The sequence below is a fragment of the Homo sapiens genome, chromosome 15 (genome assembly GCF_000001405.40).
Source record: "Homo sapiens chromosome 15, GRCh38.p14 Primary Assembly".
Taxonomy (NCBI): Eukaryota; Metazoa; Chordata; class Mammalia; order Primates; family Hominidae; genus Homo; species Homo sapiens.
The window spans coordinates 41,413,404-41,430,682 of NC_000015.10; the positions used below are offsets into that span (position 1 = coordinate 41,413,404).

The following is a 17,279-nucleotide window of genomic DNA, read 5'->3' on the forward strand; positions in this document are numbered from 1 at the left end:
GAGTAGCTGGGACTACAGGTGGGTGCCACCACGCCCAGCGAATTTTTGTATTTTTAGTAGAGACGGGGTTTCACCATATCAGCCAGGCTGGTCTCGAACTCCTGACCTCAAGTGATCCACCCTCCTTGGTCTCCCAAAGTGCTAGGATTACAGGCATGAGCCACCCCGCCTGGCCTAACTTATTATTATCATTATTTTTTTAAATTTTGAGATGGAATTTCACTCTTGTTGCCCAGGCTGGAGTGCAATGGCGCGATCTCAGCTCACTCCAACTCCGCCTCCTGGGTTCAAGTGATTCTCCTGCCTCAGCCTCCCAGGTAGCTGGGATTACATGCGCCTGCCACAATGCACAGCTAATTTTTTTTTTTTTGTATTTTTAGTAGAGATGGGATTTCACCATGTCGGCCAGGCTGGTCTTGAACTCCTGACCTCAGGTAATCCGCCTGCCTCGGCCTCCCAAAGTGCTGGGATTACAGGCGTGAGCCACCACACTCGGCTTGGCCTAACTTACTATTTTTTTTGAGACGTGGTTTCTCTAAGTTGCCAAGGATGGATTCCACCTCCTGGGCTCAACCGATCCTCCTACCTTAGCCTCCCAAGTAACTGGGACCATAGACCTGTGCCTCCATGCCTGCTTTGTAAACTTAAACCTTATAAGAACCCAAAGAGACAGACACTATCATTATCCTCATTTTACTAATTGGAAACTTTGACTGGTTGGGTTCTCTGGGAAGCTGACTCAAGAGGGAGTTTAAAGCAACGTTTATTCACTAAATTTAGACATTGATTAGACTCAATACGGACTAACTTCAGTACGTGAATCATTAGAAGACCCCTTGCAGAAAGATCAAAATCTACAGATTTCACTCAAAGAACATACTTTTATTAATTCCAGTCAAGGGCCACTGACCATGTCATGGCTTCCTTTTTAGCAGTACTGTGTATTAACACATTTAAAGAGGGTCCTCCAGAAGGGCACCACAGGCTTCAGGGTGGCTAGACATACGGAAGCTGGGCTGGTGATTCGGGGTCACCTTGGCCATGGTTCCAAGGATATGTCGGGGGAGAAAAGTCTATGAGCTGTATCTTAGGAAAACTCTTCTAGGGTAAAGAGGTAGTTGGACTTTATTTAGGTTGTTTTATTTATTTATTTTTTTGAGACAGGGTCTCACTTTGTCACCCAGGCTGAAGTGCAGTGGTGCGATTATTTTCTTTTTTCCTTTTTTTTTTTTTGAGAACAGGCTCGCTATTGTTGCCCAGGCTGGAGTGCAGTGGCGCGATCTCAGCTCACTGCAACCTCCACCTCCCAGGTTCAAGCAATTCTCTGCCTCAGCCTCCCAAGTAGCTGGGAATACATGCGCCCACCACCACGTCTGACTAATTTTTGTATTTTTAGTAGAAACGGGGTTTCACTGTCTTGGCCAAGTTGGTCTTGAGCTCCTGACCTCGTGATCCACCTGCCTCAGCCTCCCAAAGTGCTGGGGTTACAGGAAAGAGCCACTGCACCCGGTCCAGATTATTATTATTATTATTATTATTATTTTTGAGAAAGAGTCACGTCTGTTGCCAGGCTGGAGTGCAGTGGTACGATTTCGTCTCACTGCAGCCTCCGCCTTCAGGTTCAAGTGATTCTCCTGCCTCAGCCTCCCAAGTAGCTGGGATTACAGGAACACGCCACTATGCCCGGCTAATTTTTGTATTTTTAGTAGAGACAGGGTTTTACCATGTTGGTCAGGCTGGTCTCGATTTCCTGACCTTGTGATCCCCCTGCCTCAGCCTCCCAAAGTTGGGATTACAGGCGTGAGCCACTGTGCCCGGCCTAATTTTTGTATTTTTAGTAGAGATGGGGTTTTGCCATGTTGGCCAGGCAGGTCTTGAACTCCTGCCCTCAGGTGATCGGCCCTCTTCAGCTTCCCAAAGTGCTGGGATTACATGTGTGAGCCACCACGCCCGGCCCCTACTTTATATTCCTAATCACTAAAGGAAATAACTTCTGGAGCTGACCTTTTTATCAGCTGACCTCAAACTTAAGTATAAAAACTTATTTCCTATACACACCAGTTCCCAAAACCTTCTTCTCTCCTCTTGTATTTCATTTTTTTGATGAAGGGCTCACCTGCCACTAGCTTCCTAAGCTAGAATCTGAACATCAATAGGTATCTGGGAGCACTCCTTCCCTTACCCCTATCCCAAATCCTGGGGATTCTACGTTCCAAATTATCCAGAGTCCATCCACTTCTTTCCATTCCCACAGCTTCGTCCTTAGGTCAGGACACCATCATCTCTTGCCAAGAAGACAACAACAATCCAAGCGATCTCCCTGCCCTTAGTCCATTCGCCATACTGCGGTCAGAGTAATCTTTGAAAAACACAAATCAGGCCTGGGTGCAGTGGCTCATGCCTATAATCCCAGCACTTTGGGAGGCTGAGGCGGGCGGATCACCGGAGGCCAGGAGTTTGAGACCAGCCTGGCCAACATGCTGAAACCCCATCTCTACTGAAAATACAAAAATTAGCAGGGCGTGGTGAAGGGCGTCTGTAATGCCATCTATTCCGGAGGTTGAGGCTGGAGAATCGCTTGAACCCAGGCGGCAGAAGTTGCAGTGAGCCAAGATCGCGCCATTGCACTCCAGCCTGGGCGACAAGAACGAAACTCCGTCTCAAAAAAAAAAAAAAAAAAAAAATTAGCCGGGCGTGGTGGCAGGAGCCTGTAATCCCAGCTACTCAGGAGGCTGAGGCAGGAGAATCGCTTGAACCTGGGAAGCGGAGTTGCAGTGAGCTGCCACTGCACTCCAGGCCGGGCAACAAGAGCGACTCCGTCTCCAAAACAAACGAACAAACAAACAAACAAACAAAAAAACACCACCACAAATCAGGCTGGGCACGGTAGCTCACGCCTGTAATCCCAGCACTTTGGGAGGCCAAGGCAGGAGGATCCCTTGGGCCCAGGGGTTCGAGACCAGCCTGGGCAATATAGGGAGGCCCCGTCTCTACTAAAACACAAAACCACACACAAATCAAATCATGTGGTTCTTCAGTTTAAAATCTTTCAATACTCAAGTTCAAACTCCCTAATTCAGCTTACTTATTAGGATCTGAGTGAGGCAGTCGCCGTGTCCTTCTCCAGCCTGGTCTGTCGCCTATCCCCACCCACAATCTCTGCTCTGGCCATAACTAACTTCAGTTCTCCGAACCTAACTTTATTATCGCCGGGCCATTTTGCCTACGCTGTTCTCTGCATGCAACACTCTACTCTCCTTTTGGGTAATTCAGATGCATTCTCCAGGTCCCAGCTCAGCTGTCATTCGCACAGCCCGGGTCGGCAGTCTCCAGCCCCCAACCGGTGTCCACCGCGTGGTCCAGGCGACTTATGTCTTCCAGGCCGTCGGCCCCTTAAGTACACGCCATCAGTGTTGGACAGCTTGAAAGTAGGTAGACACGTGAGCCCCCTCAGAGAGAACCTGGATCCTTGCGGCTCCAGCCCCCGATAGGAAGAGAGCCCACCAAACTTCGGCTCCGCAGCAGAGATACAGCCAAGGACTCCAGGGCAGTCGCGGGTAAAGCCACCACCACTCTCTGCCGGGAACCAGCGACGGGGGAAGGCCCCGCCTCTCACGCTGCGTCGGGGGCGGGGCAGGGCGGGGCACCCGGCGACCTGCGAACGGCGTGCGGCGAGCAGGGGGCGGGGCCAGGGGGGCGGAGCGGAGCGCGCATGCGCGGTCGCCTTTGTGTGGGTCGAGCAGCGGCGGCGGCGGCGGCAGTGGCGGTCCCACTGGCAGGCGGGCAAGAGGGGAGTCCGGGCGGCGGCCGGCGTGGGAGCCGGGGGACCACCATGGTAAAGAAGCGGAAAGGCCGCGTCGTGATCGACTCGGACACAGAGGACAGCGGCAGCGACGAGAACCTGGATCAGGTGAGGGCAGGCCGCGGAGGCGCGGGCCGGCGGAGCCAGAGGGCTGTCGGGGCCGCGGGAGCCGGAGACGGCCGGGCCTGGAGCCTTCCTACCAGAGCGCCCAGCTCGCCCCGTGCCCTGGGCACCACTACAGCCCCTTTCCCGTCTTCCTGGAGTGTGCGGGGCCTTGGAGACCGGCCCGGGCCTGGAGACGGAGCCCCGAGGACTTGGCGCCTTGGGCGGGGAGGCGGGGCAGGGACCGGGCCGTTGGGCCTCGGGCTCGGGGGTAGCGAAAGGGGCCGCGATCTTCCGGGGCCAGATCGGGGCGGCGGGCTGTAGTCCAGGAGATCCGGGCTGGGAGAGATAGGAAGTATCGCCCGCCAACCTGGGAGGCTGGGAGGTTTTGGAGGAGGTGCAAGGGTGCGCGTCGAGCAGTTGGGGGCGAGGGCCAAGAAGATCCGGACTCTGGAAGATGGAAGTTTTTCGGACAAGGGATGTGGACAGAGGAAGGACACTCGTAAATGTTCCTAGGAGCCTCTGCCATGCTTGCCAAGGATGACTTAGCTGTGGGCACGAGTTTATTTGGCGACTAGGGTCGTTTGTGTTTGAGAAGGGCCCTTGTTGAGGTGTCAGACCCAAAAAAACACTCTTGGGTGGAGGAAAGAGGGCAGATACTGGAAGAAATAGAGAACTATGTAGGGCGACATGGAGGGACTGTGCATAGCCCAGGCCTCCTCTTGGCCCTTTCACGCAGCATCCCAGAATTCTTTCTTACTTGAAGACTGCAGGAAGCACTGAAAGTAACTTTTGGCCTCAGTGTCTTGGGGTTGAACTGTTTATATACTCTAGAAAACATTGTAGGGAGGAATCTGCTCTTTGTAGCAGTGCTCTAGTGATACCAGGCGATACAAAGATGGTCTCCTTTCTGTTTAATGAGCAAATGATGTAAAGAAAGAATATGCAAGAGATAGTAGCTTTTGAGTAGAAAGAGTATTGAACTTGGAGTCTGAAAATTTGAATTCTAGGCTGGGCTTATGCTATTTTCTAGCTATATATCTTTGGTCTTAAATGTAAAATGAAAATGTAACATCAGCCTTGTGTATCTAATTGGTTTATTGTAAAGATCAAGTGTTTGTAAAAATTGATGGCAGTGCAAGCATTTGCTAATTGTAAAGTTTTTCTATGAATGGCTTCTTGGGGGTCTTTTATATGAAGCCAGAGGTCTCAGTTTGAAAGTATTAGGGGCTGGGCGCGGTGGCTCACGCCTGTAGTCCCAGCACTTTGGGAGGCCAAGGCTCATCTGAGGTCGGGAGTTCGAGACCAGCCTGACCAACATGGAGAAACCCCATCTCTACTAAAAATACAAAATTAGCGGGGCGTGGTGGCACATGCCTGTAATCCCAGCTACTCGGGAGGCTGAGGCAGGAGAATTCTTGAACCCGGGAGGCGGAGGTTGCAGTGAGCCTGGGCAACAAGAGCGAAACTCCATCACAAAAAAAAAAAAAAAAAGAAAAGAAAGAAAAAGAAAGTATTAAGGCATAAAAGGGGAGGACTTTTTATTTATTTATTTATTTTTTTTTGAGACGGAGTCTCGCACTGTCGCCCAGGCTGGAGTGCAGTGGTGCGATCTTGGCTTCACTGCAAGCTCCGCCAAGGGGAGGACTTTTAAGAAGAAAAGGATTGAGGAGGTGCTGTAGAAAGAAGACTGCTTTGAAAATGGTGGTAGGGAGATGGAGAAGTAATGGGGCCTGTGTAAGACTATCTAAGGAATAGAAACTTTGTTTTGGGGTAGGAATTGAAAATGTTCTCATTGAAAGGCTCCTGAAGTTTACAAAAATATCAAAAGTATAATTTCGACTGTAAAAGTTTGATTGGTAGATAATTTTAGACTGGCAATTAGAAGGAGTAGAATCTATTTTTTTCTGTCTTTTCATCTACAAATGTGAATGTTTCAGACAATAACAACATTGGCTACCATTTATATAGTGCCTAGAGTAGGCACTTTAATTGTTTTGTTTAGATTTTCAAGTTTTCACATTATGGTAAATTTGGAATTATTTCCTCTACTTTACATAAAGAAAATGGAGGTTGAAAAAGTTAAATAACTCACAACTAGTAAGTGGTAGCATTGGGATTTGAACCCAGATCTGCATGAGTACAAAGCCTATACTGTTTCCACTATACCAACTCAATCTGTTAGTTTTAAATTTTTTTCATACTGCAAAATGATAATGTTTCACAGTCATTTTTCATGGTGCTAGAGTTCGTGTTTATAAAGTACACTGGATAGTTTAGAGGAAATTGGTACATACATTAAAAGGATTATTTGGGGGGATTTCTTGGTAAAGCACTCTCAAGACATCTGTTCAAGTGATGAATGAACTGAACTGCAAATTATTGTCCTTAGTAGTTTCCCACAGAATTCTGATGAATAAAATAAGTTGAGTGCTTCTTTTCGTGGTAGAGATATTTCACCTGATCCACAAAAAGCTTTTTCAAAGTGGGAACTGCAGAGAATTGCCACTTTATTTATTTATTTATTTTTGAGACGGAGTCTTGTTCTGTTGCCTGGGCTGGAGTTCAGTGGCACAATCTCAACTCACTGCAACCTCCGCCCACTGGGTTCAAGCGATTCTCCTGCTTCAGCCTCCCGTGTAGCTGGGACTACAGGTGCCTGTCACCACACCTGGCTAATTTTTTGTATTTTTAGTGGAGACAGGGTTTCTCCATGTTGGCCAGGCTGGTTTCGAACTCCTGACCTCAAGTGATATGCCCACCTCGGCCTCCCAAAGTGCTGGGATTACAGGCATGAGCCACCGTGCTTGGCCGGAATTGCAATTTTAAATCCAATTCTAAATATCTATTTGTAAAAGGAAATTAACATAAAATGTGTAATACCTAATACATTTTAACAACAAATTTAACTTCCTCCCCTTCAGCTTCTTATTTGCATTCTTGTTATCAGATGGGAACTAGATCAAAATTCCCTTTCCCTGCACATCCTAACAGGGGTATTGATGCCTTCAGTTTGTCTGTTCAGCACTATGCCAGACTCTCAGAATAATCAAAGAGGAAGATCTCTGCCCTCTAGACATTTTCACGAAAGACCTTTAGCACAAGTTCACTGTCAGTGCTGCTTGGGGGTCTTTAGGAATCCTAATGCATTCTGGATCTTTCCTGCCCCAAATACCTTGTGCTGCTCCATCTGGTTCTGAGTCTTCACTGGGGGTATAACATTAGACTTGCTGTCTAGCGTATGGTACTTGTGGAAGGAACAAACCATGACAGATCACTGAGTATCTAGTGTGGATTGGAATGCAGTTCGTAAGGAGGCCTTTTGTCCCTGGGTTTTTCAGATGGGAATCTGAGCCATTATGTCAAAAATTTTACCTCCAATTTATTCCTTACTGAAGGTGAGATATATGGGCCTTCTAGGCTGGTTTTTCCTGGTGGTAGGGGCAGACCTCTGTGTCAGAAGCCACCTGGGTTGCTTATTTAAAATGTAGGTTGGGACTTAGAGGGTGCAGCAGTTCCCATCCTAGACCTACTGAATCAGACTCTCAGGGGATAGAGGTCTGGACTCTGCATTTGTAACAGGTATAGCTCAAGTAATTATGATTTATGTTAGTGATTAAGATCACTGCCTATATGCAGGTTAATCTTTTTAGTAACACACTATAAGTATTTAGAAGAGAAATAGCTTCCTGTGTCTGCCATAGTACTTCCAAATTAAGCGTACATGTATAGGCTGGGCATGGTGGCTCATGCCCTGTAATCTCAGCACTTTGGGAGGCCAAAGTGGGAGGAACACTTGAGCCCAGGTGTTTGAGATCAGCGTAGGCAACAAAGTGAGACCTCATCTGTACAAAGACTTTAAAAATTGGCCAGGTGCAGTGGCTCATACCTGTAATCCCAGCACTTTGGGAGGCCGAGGTGGGCGGATCACCTGAGGTTGGGAGTTTGAGACCAGCCTGACCAACATGGAGAAACCTCGTCTCTACTAAAAATACAAAATTAGCCAGGCATGGTGGTGCTTGCCTGTAATCCCAGTTACTCAGAAGGCTGAGGCAGGAGAATCACTTGAACCCAGGAGGTGGAGGCTGTGGTGAGCCGAGATCGTGCCATTGCACTCCAGCCTGGGAAACAAGAGTGAAACTCTGTATTAAAAAAAAAAAAAAAAGAATTTAAAAATTAGCTGGGCATGGTGGCGTGCCTCTAGTCTCAGCTACTTGGGAGTCTGGGGTGGGAGGATTGCTTGAGCCTGGGAGGTTGAAGTTGCAGTTACTTGTGGTCCCACCGTTTCTCTTCAGCCCAGGTAACAGAGTGAGACCCTGTCCCAAAGAAAAAAAAAAAAAAGGCACTTGTATAACTAAAAGAACTTGACAGGGAGGTTTTAAGATGGCAAAACTACTGGTTCTTTTTTTTTTTTTTTTTAGGCAGGGTTTCACTCCTGTCACCCAGGCTGGAGTGCAGTGGCACAATTACAGCTCACGGCTGTAGCGTTGACCTCCCTAGCTCAGTGATCCTTCCCCCTCAGCCTCTCAAGTAGCTGGGACTACAGGTGTGCACCACCACACCCAGCTAATTTTTAAAATCATTTGTAGAGATGGGGGTCCCACTACATTGCCTAGGCTAGTCTGAAACTCCTGGGCTTGGGTGATTCTCAGGCTTTGGCCTCCCAAAGTGCTGGAATTACAGGTGTGAGCTGCCACACCAGGCCTTATTTATTTATTTGTTTGTTTGTTTATTTATTTATTTTTGAGATGGAGTCTCACTCTATCGCCCAGACTGGAGTACAATAGCACGATCTCGACTCACTGCACCTTCCACCTCCTGGGTTCAAGCAATTCTCCTGCCTCAGCCTCCTGGGTAGCTGAGATTACAGGCGCCTGCCACCACACCTGGCTAATTTTTTGTATTTTCAGTAGAGACGCTATGTTGGCCAGACTGGTCTCTAACTCCTGGCCTCAGGTGATCCAGCACCTGGCCTTATTTTAACCTTTGAAAGTTTTTAAAACTAAGACCTAGTTTGAGAGTTTGAAAGCTTTTCTTTTAGCATTTGACCTGATAGTGACTCTGTCCTTATTTTGACCACACCCTTTCTTCAACATTTTTAAATTTCAAGATACTTGCTGTTGGTGCCTATTGGGAAATAATAATTTGAGGCAAACCTCTGGGCTCTATGTCATCTCCCTTTATGGAATAATATTTATGCAGTAAGTCCTATAAAATGAAAAGCATTCAAGATAATAAAGGAACCAGAGTTCTCAATTCAAATCAGTACAACTCCGTATTTATAAAAATTTTACTCTACCTTTCTAAAAAACTAAAAATTGAGCTATGTGCACACTGGGATGCTTTATTTTATAGGTTTCTTATTTAAAATGGAGATTATATTGTCATGTCCTGTTTTTCTCTGTTTATCTAACTTGAAGTAGCAATAATTAAATTTGTCTTTGAGAGAATAGGCCCCCCTAAGTATTTTCTTTTTTCTTTTTTTTGAGACGGAGTCTCGCTCTGTCACCCAGGCTGGAGTGCAGTGGCGCGATCTTGGCTCCTGCAGCCTCCGCCTCCCGGGTTCAAACAATTCTCTGCCTCAGCCTTCCGAGTAGCTTGGATTACAGGCGCACGCCACCACGTCCAGCTAATTTTTGTATTTTTAGTAGAGACGGGGTTTCACCATCTTGGCCAGGCTGGTCTTGAACTCCTGACCTCGTGATCCACCCTCCTCGGCCTCCCAAAGTGTTGGGATTACAGGCGTGAACCACCGTGCCCGGCCAGCCCTGTAAGTATTTTCTAGGAGCTGTTTTTAGATACTACATGTAAAGAATATTATTATTATAAAGTATACTTCTATAAACCTTCCCCATAAATCTTGAGAAATTTAAAAGTTGTGCTTCTTGTTAATGTAGTGTTTTCCGCATTAATCAGAGGCAAATTTTGAAGTGTAGGAAGAGTTTGTGAGAAGTGTCAGTGTTAATTTGTGAAAACTTTAATTTGTGTCATGTTGCATCTAGCTTGATGTAATTCGCTTGTTAATTTCACTCTTTTCAAAGAGTGAGTCCCATGGGAGCTCCCTCCCCACCCAGCCCCCACCCAAGATGGAGTCTTGCTCTGTCACCCAGGCTGGAGAGCAATGGCACGCTGGGCTCACTGTAGCCTCCGCCTCTAGGTTCAAGTGATTCTCCTGCCTTAGCCTCCCGAGTAGCTGGGATGACAGGCACGCGCCACCACTCCCGGCTAATTTTACATTTTTATTAGAGATGGGGTTTCTCCATGTTGGTCAGTCTGGTCTCAAACTCCCGACCTCAGATGATCCACCCACCTCGGCCTCCCAAAGTGCTGGGATTACAGGGGTGAGCCACCACGCCCAGCCCTGGGAGCTTTAACAGTGAGGCTTTTAGGAAAAATACAAAACTGATCTTCAGACACAGGTCATATTGGTGTATTTATTTTTATTTATTTATTTATTTATTTTGAGATGGAGTCTCACTTTGTTGCCCAGGCTGGAGTGCAGTGGGACGATCTCAGCTCACTGCCACCTCCGCTTCCCGGGTTCAAGCAATTATCCTGCCTCAGCCTCCCAAGTAGCTGGGATTACAGGTATGCACCACCATGCCCGACTAATTTTTGTATTTTTAGTAGAGATGGGGTTTCACCATGTTGGCCAGGCTGGTCTCAAACTCCTGACCTCAAGTGATCCGCCCTCCTTGGCTTCCCCAGGGTGCTGGGATTTCAGGCATGAGCCACCGCATCCGGCCTGATTGTTCATCGTTCAACAGATGTATTAGACAGCGTTAGACACTAGAGCTATTGGGTGAACAAAATGGAAGCAGTTTCCACCTTCAAGGAGTGTAAAGTGGAATGAGAGAGAGATGAGGTGGGGAGATTGCTCAGAGAGAGTAATTTCCTTACAATTGCACTACAGGCCATGAAGCAAGGACAAGAATACTGTGGAAATATTAACCAGGGACCCTATTCTAGCCTGATGAGAGTGACATTGAAACAGACCTGGAATATGTGTTAAGGAGAAGCAGATTAGAAGACTGAAGAGTAAAGGGAAGAGTGTTGAATGTTCATGGTTGAGGCACCAGCATATATAAAAGAAATGAGACAGGAAGGACCTCGAACCCTTATGAAACTGAAAGAAGCACAGAGTGAGTAACATAAACTAGTTGCATAGTTGGAGAGAGAATAGTACAAATGAAACTGTAGAGGTAGATTCTGTTTTGACCCTTTGAGGATGGAGAAGTCAGTTTACGGACTACACTCAGCAGTAAAAATAAAATTGAATTGATAGAAAACATCAAATGTGTCATACATAGTAAATATAAGTGATGAAATTTGTGTGTCTCATATGTACATGTAGATGTATACTGGGTTGTGAGGTATAATTTATCTTCCTGTGGGCTGCGTTAAAAAGAGAAAAGTTTTTTGGCCAGGCGCAGTGGCTCACGCCTTTAATCCCAGCACTTTGGGAGGCCGAGGTGGGTGGATCATATGAGGCCAGGAGTTCGACCAGGCGGGCCAACATGGCGAAACCCCATCTCTAGTAAAAATACAAAAATTAGCCAAGTGCGGTGGCACACACCTGTAGTCCCAGCCACTGGTGAGGCTGAGGCATGAGAATCCCTTGAACCTAGGAGGCGGAGGTTGCAGTGAGCCGAGATCACCACTGTATTAGCCTGGGTGACAGAGAGACTCCGTCTAAAAAAAACAAAAGAAAAAAAGAAAAAAATTTAAAGCCACTGGAGGGCGTCAGCCTCCCCGGTGGCTGGGACTGCAAGTGTGTGCCACCACACTTGGCTAATTTTTGTTTTTTATTTTTGAGACGGAGTCTCGCTCTTTTGCCCAGGCCGGACTGCAGTGGCGCTGTCTCTGCCACTGCAAGCTTCGCCTCCCGGGTTCATACCATTCTCCTGCCTCAGCCTCCCGAGTAGCTGGGACTATAGGCGCCTGCCACTGTGTCCGGCTAATTTTTTTTTTGTATTTTTAGTAGGCACGGGTTTCACCATGTTAGCCAGGATGGTCTTGATCTCCTGACCTCATGATCTGCCCGCCTCGGCCTCCCAAAGTGTGCTGGGATTACAGGTGTGAGCCACCGCGCCTGGCCAATTTTTGTATTTTTAGTAGAGACTTTGGAGTTTATTCTGAGAGTAATAGGAAGCCATTGAAGGATTTTAAGTTGGAGAAGATTTTCAGATTTGCCTTACCCAGACTATTGTGGAGAGTAATATGGAGGGGGACACTAATGAAGTGGCAGAGAGAGGAGTCCAGATGAGAGATGATGGAGAACATAAGTTCCATTAGAATGGAAGCGCCAGGAGGGTAACCGTATGTGTTCACTATGCTGTCCCTGGCATCTAGAGCAGTGCCTATATGCAGTTGGCACCCAGTCAGTATTTATTAAATGAAGGACTGACTTGGATTGATATGGTTGTTATAGAGATGACAGATAGTGGAATTGGTTGGACATGATGTTCAGTATGTAGAACTAAAAGGCCTTGAAGACTGAGGACTGATTAGATGTTAGGATGAGAAGAGGAGTATTTAGGATTGATGCCAGGCACTGGCATGAGATGGGGAGTGCTGGAGGAGCAGGTTTAGAGGTGAAGATCCTGCATTCAGTCTGGGATATGTGGAGTTCGAAGTGACTATGAGATGTCTAAGTGGAGACATCAAGTAGGTAGTTGAAAATAACACTTGAGGGCCAGGCACAATGGCTCATGCCTGTAATCCCAGCACTTTGGGAGGCTGAGGTGGGAGGATTGCTTGAGCTCAGGAGTTTGAGATCAGCCTAGGCAACATGATGATGAAACCTGATCTCTACAAAAAAAAAAAATTTTTTTTGGAGGTGGAGTCTCGCTCTGTTGCCTAGGCTGGAGTGCAGTGACACCATCTTGGCTCACTGCAACCTCCGCCCTGGGTTCAAGCGATTCTCGTGCCTCAGCCTCCTGAGTAGCTGGGATTACAGGCACATGCCACCATGCCCAGCTAATTTTTTTGATTGTTTGTTTTTATTTTTTTTTTTGGGATAGAGTCTCGCTCTGTCGCCCAGGGTGGAGTGCAGTGGCACGATCTCTGCTCACTGCAACCTCCCCCTCCTGGATTCAAGCGATTCTTCTGCCTCAGCCTCCCGAGTAGCTGGGACTACAGGCGTGCGCCACCATGCCTGACTAATTTTTTGTATTTTTAGTAGAGACAGGGTTTCACCATATTGGCCAGGCTGATCTCGAACTCCAGACGTCATGATCTGCCCACCTCGGCTTCCCGAACTGCTAGGATTACAAGCGTGAGCCACTGTGCCTGGCCATTTTTTTGTATTTTTAGTAGAGATGGGGTTTTTCCATGTTGGCCAGGCTGGTCTCGAACTCCTGACCTCAGGTGATCCACCCCGCCCCCCCCCCCCCCCGCCCCCCCCCCCCGCCGGCCTCCTGAAGTGTTGGGATTACAGGCGTGAGTCTACTGTGCCCAGCCGCTACATATATATGTGTGTGTGTGTGTGTGTGTGTGTGTGTGTGTGTGTGTGTGTGTAATTTTTGTTTGTTTGTTTGTTTGTTTGTTTTTTAGGCAGAGTCTCACTCTGTTGCCCAGGCTGGAGCGCAATGGTGTGATCTCGGCTCACTGCAACCTCCACCTCCCAGGTTCAAGCAATTCTCCTGCCTCAGCCTGCCAAGCAGCTGGGATTACAGGGGCCCACCACCACGCCCAGCTAATTTTTGTATTTTTAGTAGAGATAGGGTTTCACCATGTTGGCCAGGCTGGTCTTGAACTCCTGACCTCGTGATCCACCCACCTTGGCCTCCCAAAGTGCTGGGACTACAGGCATGAGCCACCATGCCTGGTCTACAAATTTTTTTTTTTTTTTTTTTTTTTTGAGACAGAGTCTTGCTCTGTTGCCCAGGCCGGAGTGCAGTGGTGCGATCTCGGCTCACTGCAAGCTCCGCCTCCCGGGTTCACGCCATTCTCCTGCCTCAGCCTCCTGAGTAGCTGGGACTACAGGCACCCGCCACCATGCCCGGCTAATTTTTTGTATTTTTAGTAGAGACGGGGTTTCACCGTGTTAGCCAGGATGGTCTGGATCTCCTGACCTCGTGATCCACCCACCCTGGCCTCCCAAAGTGCTGGGATTACAGGCGTGAGCCACTGCGCCCGGCCCTACAAAATTTTTAAAAAATTAGCTGAGTGTGGTGGCATGCGCCTGTGGTCCCAGCTATTCATTCAAAATAAAAGCTACATAAGCTGGGTGTAGTGGTGTGTGCCTGTAGTCCCAGCTACCCAGGAGGCTGAGATAGGAGGATCACCTGAGCTTAGGAGGTTGAGGCTGCAGAGAGCCATGATCACACAACTGCACTCCAGCCTGGGTGACAGTGAGACCCTGACTCAAATAATAATAACAGTAATAATAATTATGCCGATGCTCGCCTGACAGAGTAGGCACTTAATAAATTTTTGTTGAATAAGCAGATGCTACTTGGCATACCTATGGTGTCAAGTTTTATTTTTTTTTGAAATGGAGTTTTGCTCTTTGTTGCCCAGGCTGGAGTGCAGTGGGGCAATCTCAGCTCACTGCAACCTCCGCCTCCCGGGTTCAAGTGATTCTCCTGTCTTAGCTTCCCAAGTAGCTGGGATTACAAGTGTCCGCCACCACACCTGGCTAATTTTTGTATTTTTAGTAGAGACGGGGTTTCACCATGCTGGCTAGGCTGGTCTTGATCTCCTGACCTCAGGTGATCTGCCTGGCTTGGCCTCCCAAAGTGCTGGGATTACAGGCATGAGCCACCATGCCTGGCCGCCTTCTTTTTTTTTTAATTTTATTTTTAGAGCTGGGGTCTCACTGTGTCACCCAAGCTACATGGTGGGACATTTTCTAACTTGGTTACATTGAGATTACTTGAAGAGATAAAGGACACTGTCACTTTGGGGGTTCTTGTTCCAACCCCTCTACTGCAATACTGATATCCCTTTTTTTTTTTTTTTTTTTTTTTTTTTTGAGATGGAGTCTCGCTTTGTTGCCCAGGCTGGAGTGCAATGACGTGATCTCAGCTCACTGCAAGCTCTGCCTCCTGGGTTCACACCATTCTCCCGCCTCAGCCTCCCGAGTAGCTGGGACTACAGGTGCCCGCCACTACACCCGGCTAATTTTTTTGTATTTTTAGTAGAGACGGGGTTTCACTGTGTTAGCCAGGATGGTCTCGATCTCCTGACCTTGTGATCCGCCCACCTCAGCCTCCCAAAGTGCTGGGATTACAAGTGTGAGCTACCGTGTCCGGCCCCCTACTCCTTTTTTTTTTTTTGAAGACAGGGTCTCACTCTGTTACCCAAGCTGAAGTGCAGTGACGTGGTCATGGATCACTCTAGCTTTGACCTCCTGGCTTCAAGTGATCCTCCCTCCTCTGCCTCTGGAGTAGCTGGGATCACAGGTGTGTGCCACCATGCCCAGCTAATTTATTTATTTATTTTGAGACAGAGTCTTGCTCTGTTGCCCAGGCTGGAGTGCAGTGGTGTGATCTCAGCTCACTGCAACCTCTCTGCCTCCTGGGCCCAACCAGTTCTCCCACAGCCTCCTGTGTAGCTGGGATTACAAGCATATGCCACCACATCTGCCTACTTTTTGTATTTTTAGTAGAGACGGGGTTTCGTCATGTTGGCCAGGCTGGTCTCAAACTCCTGACCTCAAGTAATCTGCCCATCTTGGCCTCCCAAAGTGCTGGGATTACAGGCGTGAGCCACCACTCCTGGCCACAGCGAATTGATTTTTAATTTTTTGTAGAGACAGGGTCTCCCTGTGTTGCCCATGCTGGTCTCAAATTCCTGGGCTCAAGGGATCCTTCCTCCTACCTTGGCCTCCCAAAGTACTGGGATTACAGGCCACCTGTAAGCCACCTGTGAGCCACCACGCCCAGCCAATATTCACTGTTTAAATCAACCAACAGTTTTGCTATGAAAGGGACACTAGGAAGTAACTTCTCGGATTTAAAGCTCTGCGAATTACTCTTTTTTCCTCGTCATCTCGTAGATCCTTCCACTTCTCTCTGTCCCTGTGGCTACTTGTTTAATGCGACTGCTGTGGGTTCCTTCTGAGTCCTCTCTGTACTTCCACCCTGGCCCCTCTAGTCTGTTCATCTACCAGTTGTAGTGCTCTTTTTTTTTTTTTCTCTCTCTCTCTCTTTCCAGGAGTGCTCTTTTAAAACCCTTGCTGGATTGGGTTACTCCCCTGCTTCAAACCATTTGATGGCTTCCCACTGCCTAACTTCCATGCTCCTCACCCTGTTTTATAAAGCTCAGAAAGATATGTTTTCTTCTTACCACTAACCCACCGCATTCAATTCTCCTGCTTGCCTGCTAAACTTTAGTCACAGTTTCTCTTTCAGTTCTTTGACTAAGCCAAGCTGTTATCAGCTTCAGGGCCTTAGCTGTTCCATCTGAAGGCCTCTGTCCAGAAAACTGTACCATCTTTTCCTCTCGTGAAGTTTCTAGTCTCAGCCTCAGTGCCTCAGAGAAGCCTCTCTAACCACCCTACTGCAGATAGCCCCTGCACTCATTTGATTCACTTCCTTCTTAACACTTACCATTAGATGGAATTCATTGTTTCTTTACTTGTTCATTGTTTGTCTCCCATACTTGATTTTAAATTCCATGAGGTCAAGGACCATGTATCTTTTCCTTATTTTTTCTTTGTTTTTAATTTAATTTAATTTATTTTATTTTTTCTTTTCTTTTTTTTTTTTTTGAGACAGAGTCTTGCTCTATTGCCCAGGCTGGAATGCAGTGGCACGATATCAGCTCACTGCCATCCCTACCTCCTGGGTTCACGCAGTTCTCCTGCCTCAGCTTCGTGAGTAGCTGGGATTACAGGTGCATGCCACCATGTCTGGCTAATTTTTTTTTTTTTTTTTTTTTTGAGACAGAGTCTCGCTGCCCCCTAGGCTGGAGTGCAGTGGCGCGATCTCGGCTCACTGCAACCTCTGGTTCACTACAACCTCCACCTCCCGGGTTCAAGCGATTCTCCAGCCTCAGCCTCCCAAATAGCTGGGACTACAGGCGCGTGGCACCACACCCAACTAATCTTTTGTATTTTTAGTAGAGACAGGGTGGGAAGACTTTTTTGTTGCATATTGGTCTATTCAGCTATTATGAGCCCTCAATAAGAATGTAAAGGACTGGCTGGGCATCGTGGCTCACACCTGTAATCCTAGCACTTTGGGAGGGTGAGGCAGGTAGATTGCCTGAGCTCAGAGGTTCAAGACCAGCCTGGGCAACATGATGAAACCCTGTCTCTACTAATAATACAAAATATTAGCTGGGCGTGGTGGTGCATGCCTGTAGTCCCAGCTACTTGGAAGGCTGAGGTGGGAGAATCGCTTGAACCTGGGAGGCAAAGGCTGCA

General features: G+C 47.6%; 1 protein-coding gene across 1 annotated transcript in view, besides 3 other annotated features; it reads left to right on the forward strand.

Annotated features, from left to right (window-relative positions):
- Positions 3,422–3,521: an enhancer, noted in NCBI's record as "active region_9280". NCBI's record gives its function as "activates an Ori minimal core promoter by ATAC-STARR-seq in GM12878 lymphoblastoid cells {active_cell/tissue: GM12878}" and the evidence as "EXISTENCE:reporter gene assay evidence [ECO:0000049][PMID:35858748]".
- Positions 3,582–4,171: a silencer, noted in NCBI's record as "silent region_6357". NCBI's record gives its function as "represses an Ori minimal core promoter by ATAC-STARR-seq in GM12878 lymphoblastoid cells {active_cell/tissue: GM12878}" and the evidence as "EXISTENCE:reporter gene assay evidence [ECO:0000049][PMID:35858748]".
- RTF1 (RTF1 homolog, Paf1/RNA polymerase II complex component) overlaps positions 3,692–17,279 on the forward strand; it is a 66,469-nt gene continuing 52,881 nt past the window's right edge. Inside the window, exon 1 of the mRNA NM_015138.5 lies at positions 3,692–3,910. Coding sequence (NP_055953.3) covers positions 3,713–3,910 — 198 coding nt within the window. The 5' untranslated portion in view covers positions 3,692–3,712. The remainder of the gene's footprint in view (positions 3,911–17,279) is intronic.
- Positions 16,171–16,390: an enhancer, noted in NCBI's record as "active region_9281". NCBI's record gives its function as "activates an Ori minimal core promoter by ATAC-STARR-seq in GM12878 lymphoblastoid cells {active_cell/tissue: GM12878}" and the evidence as "EXISTENCE:reporter gene assay evidence [ECO:0000049][PMID:35858748]".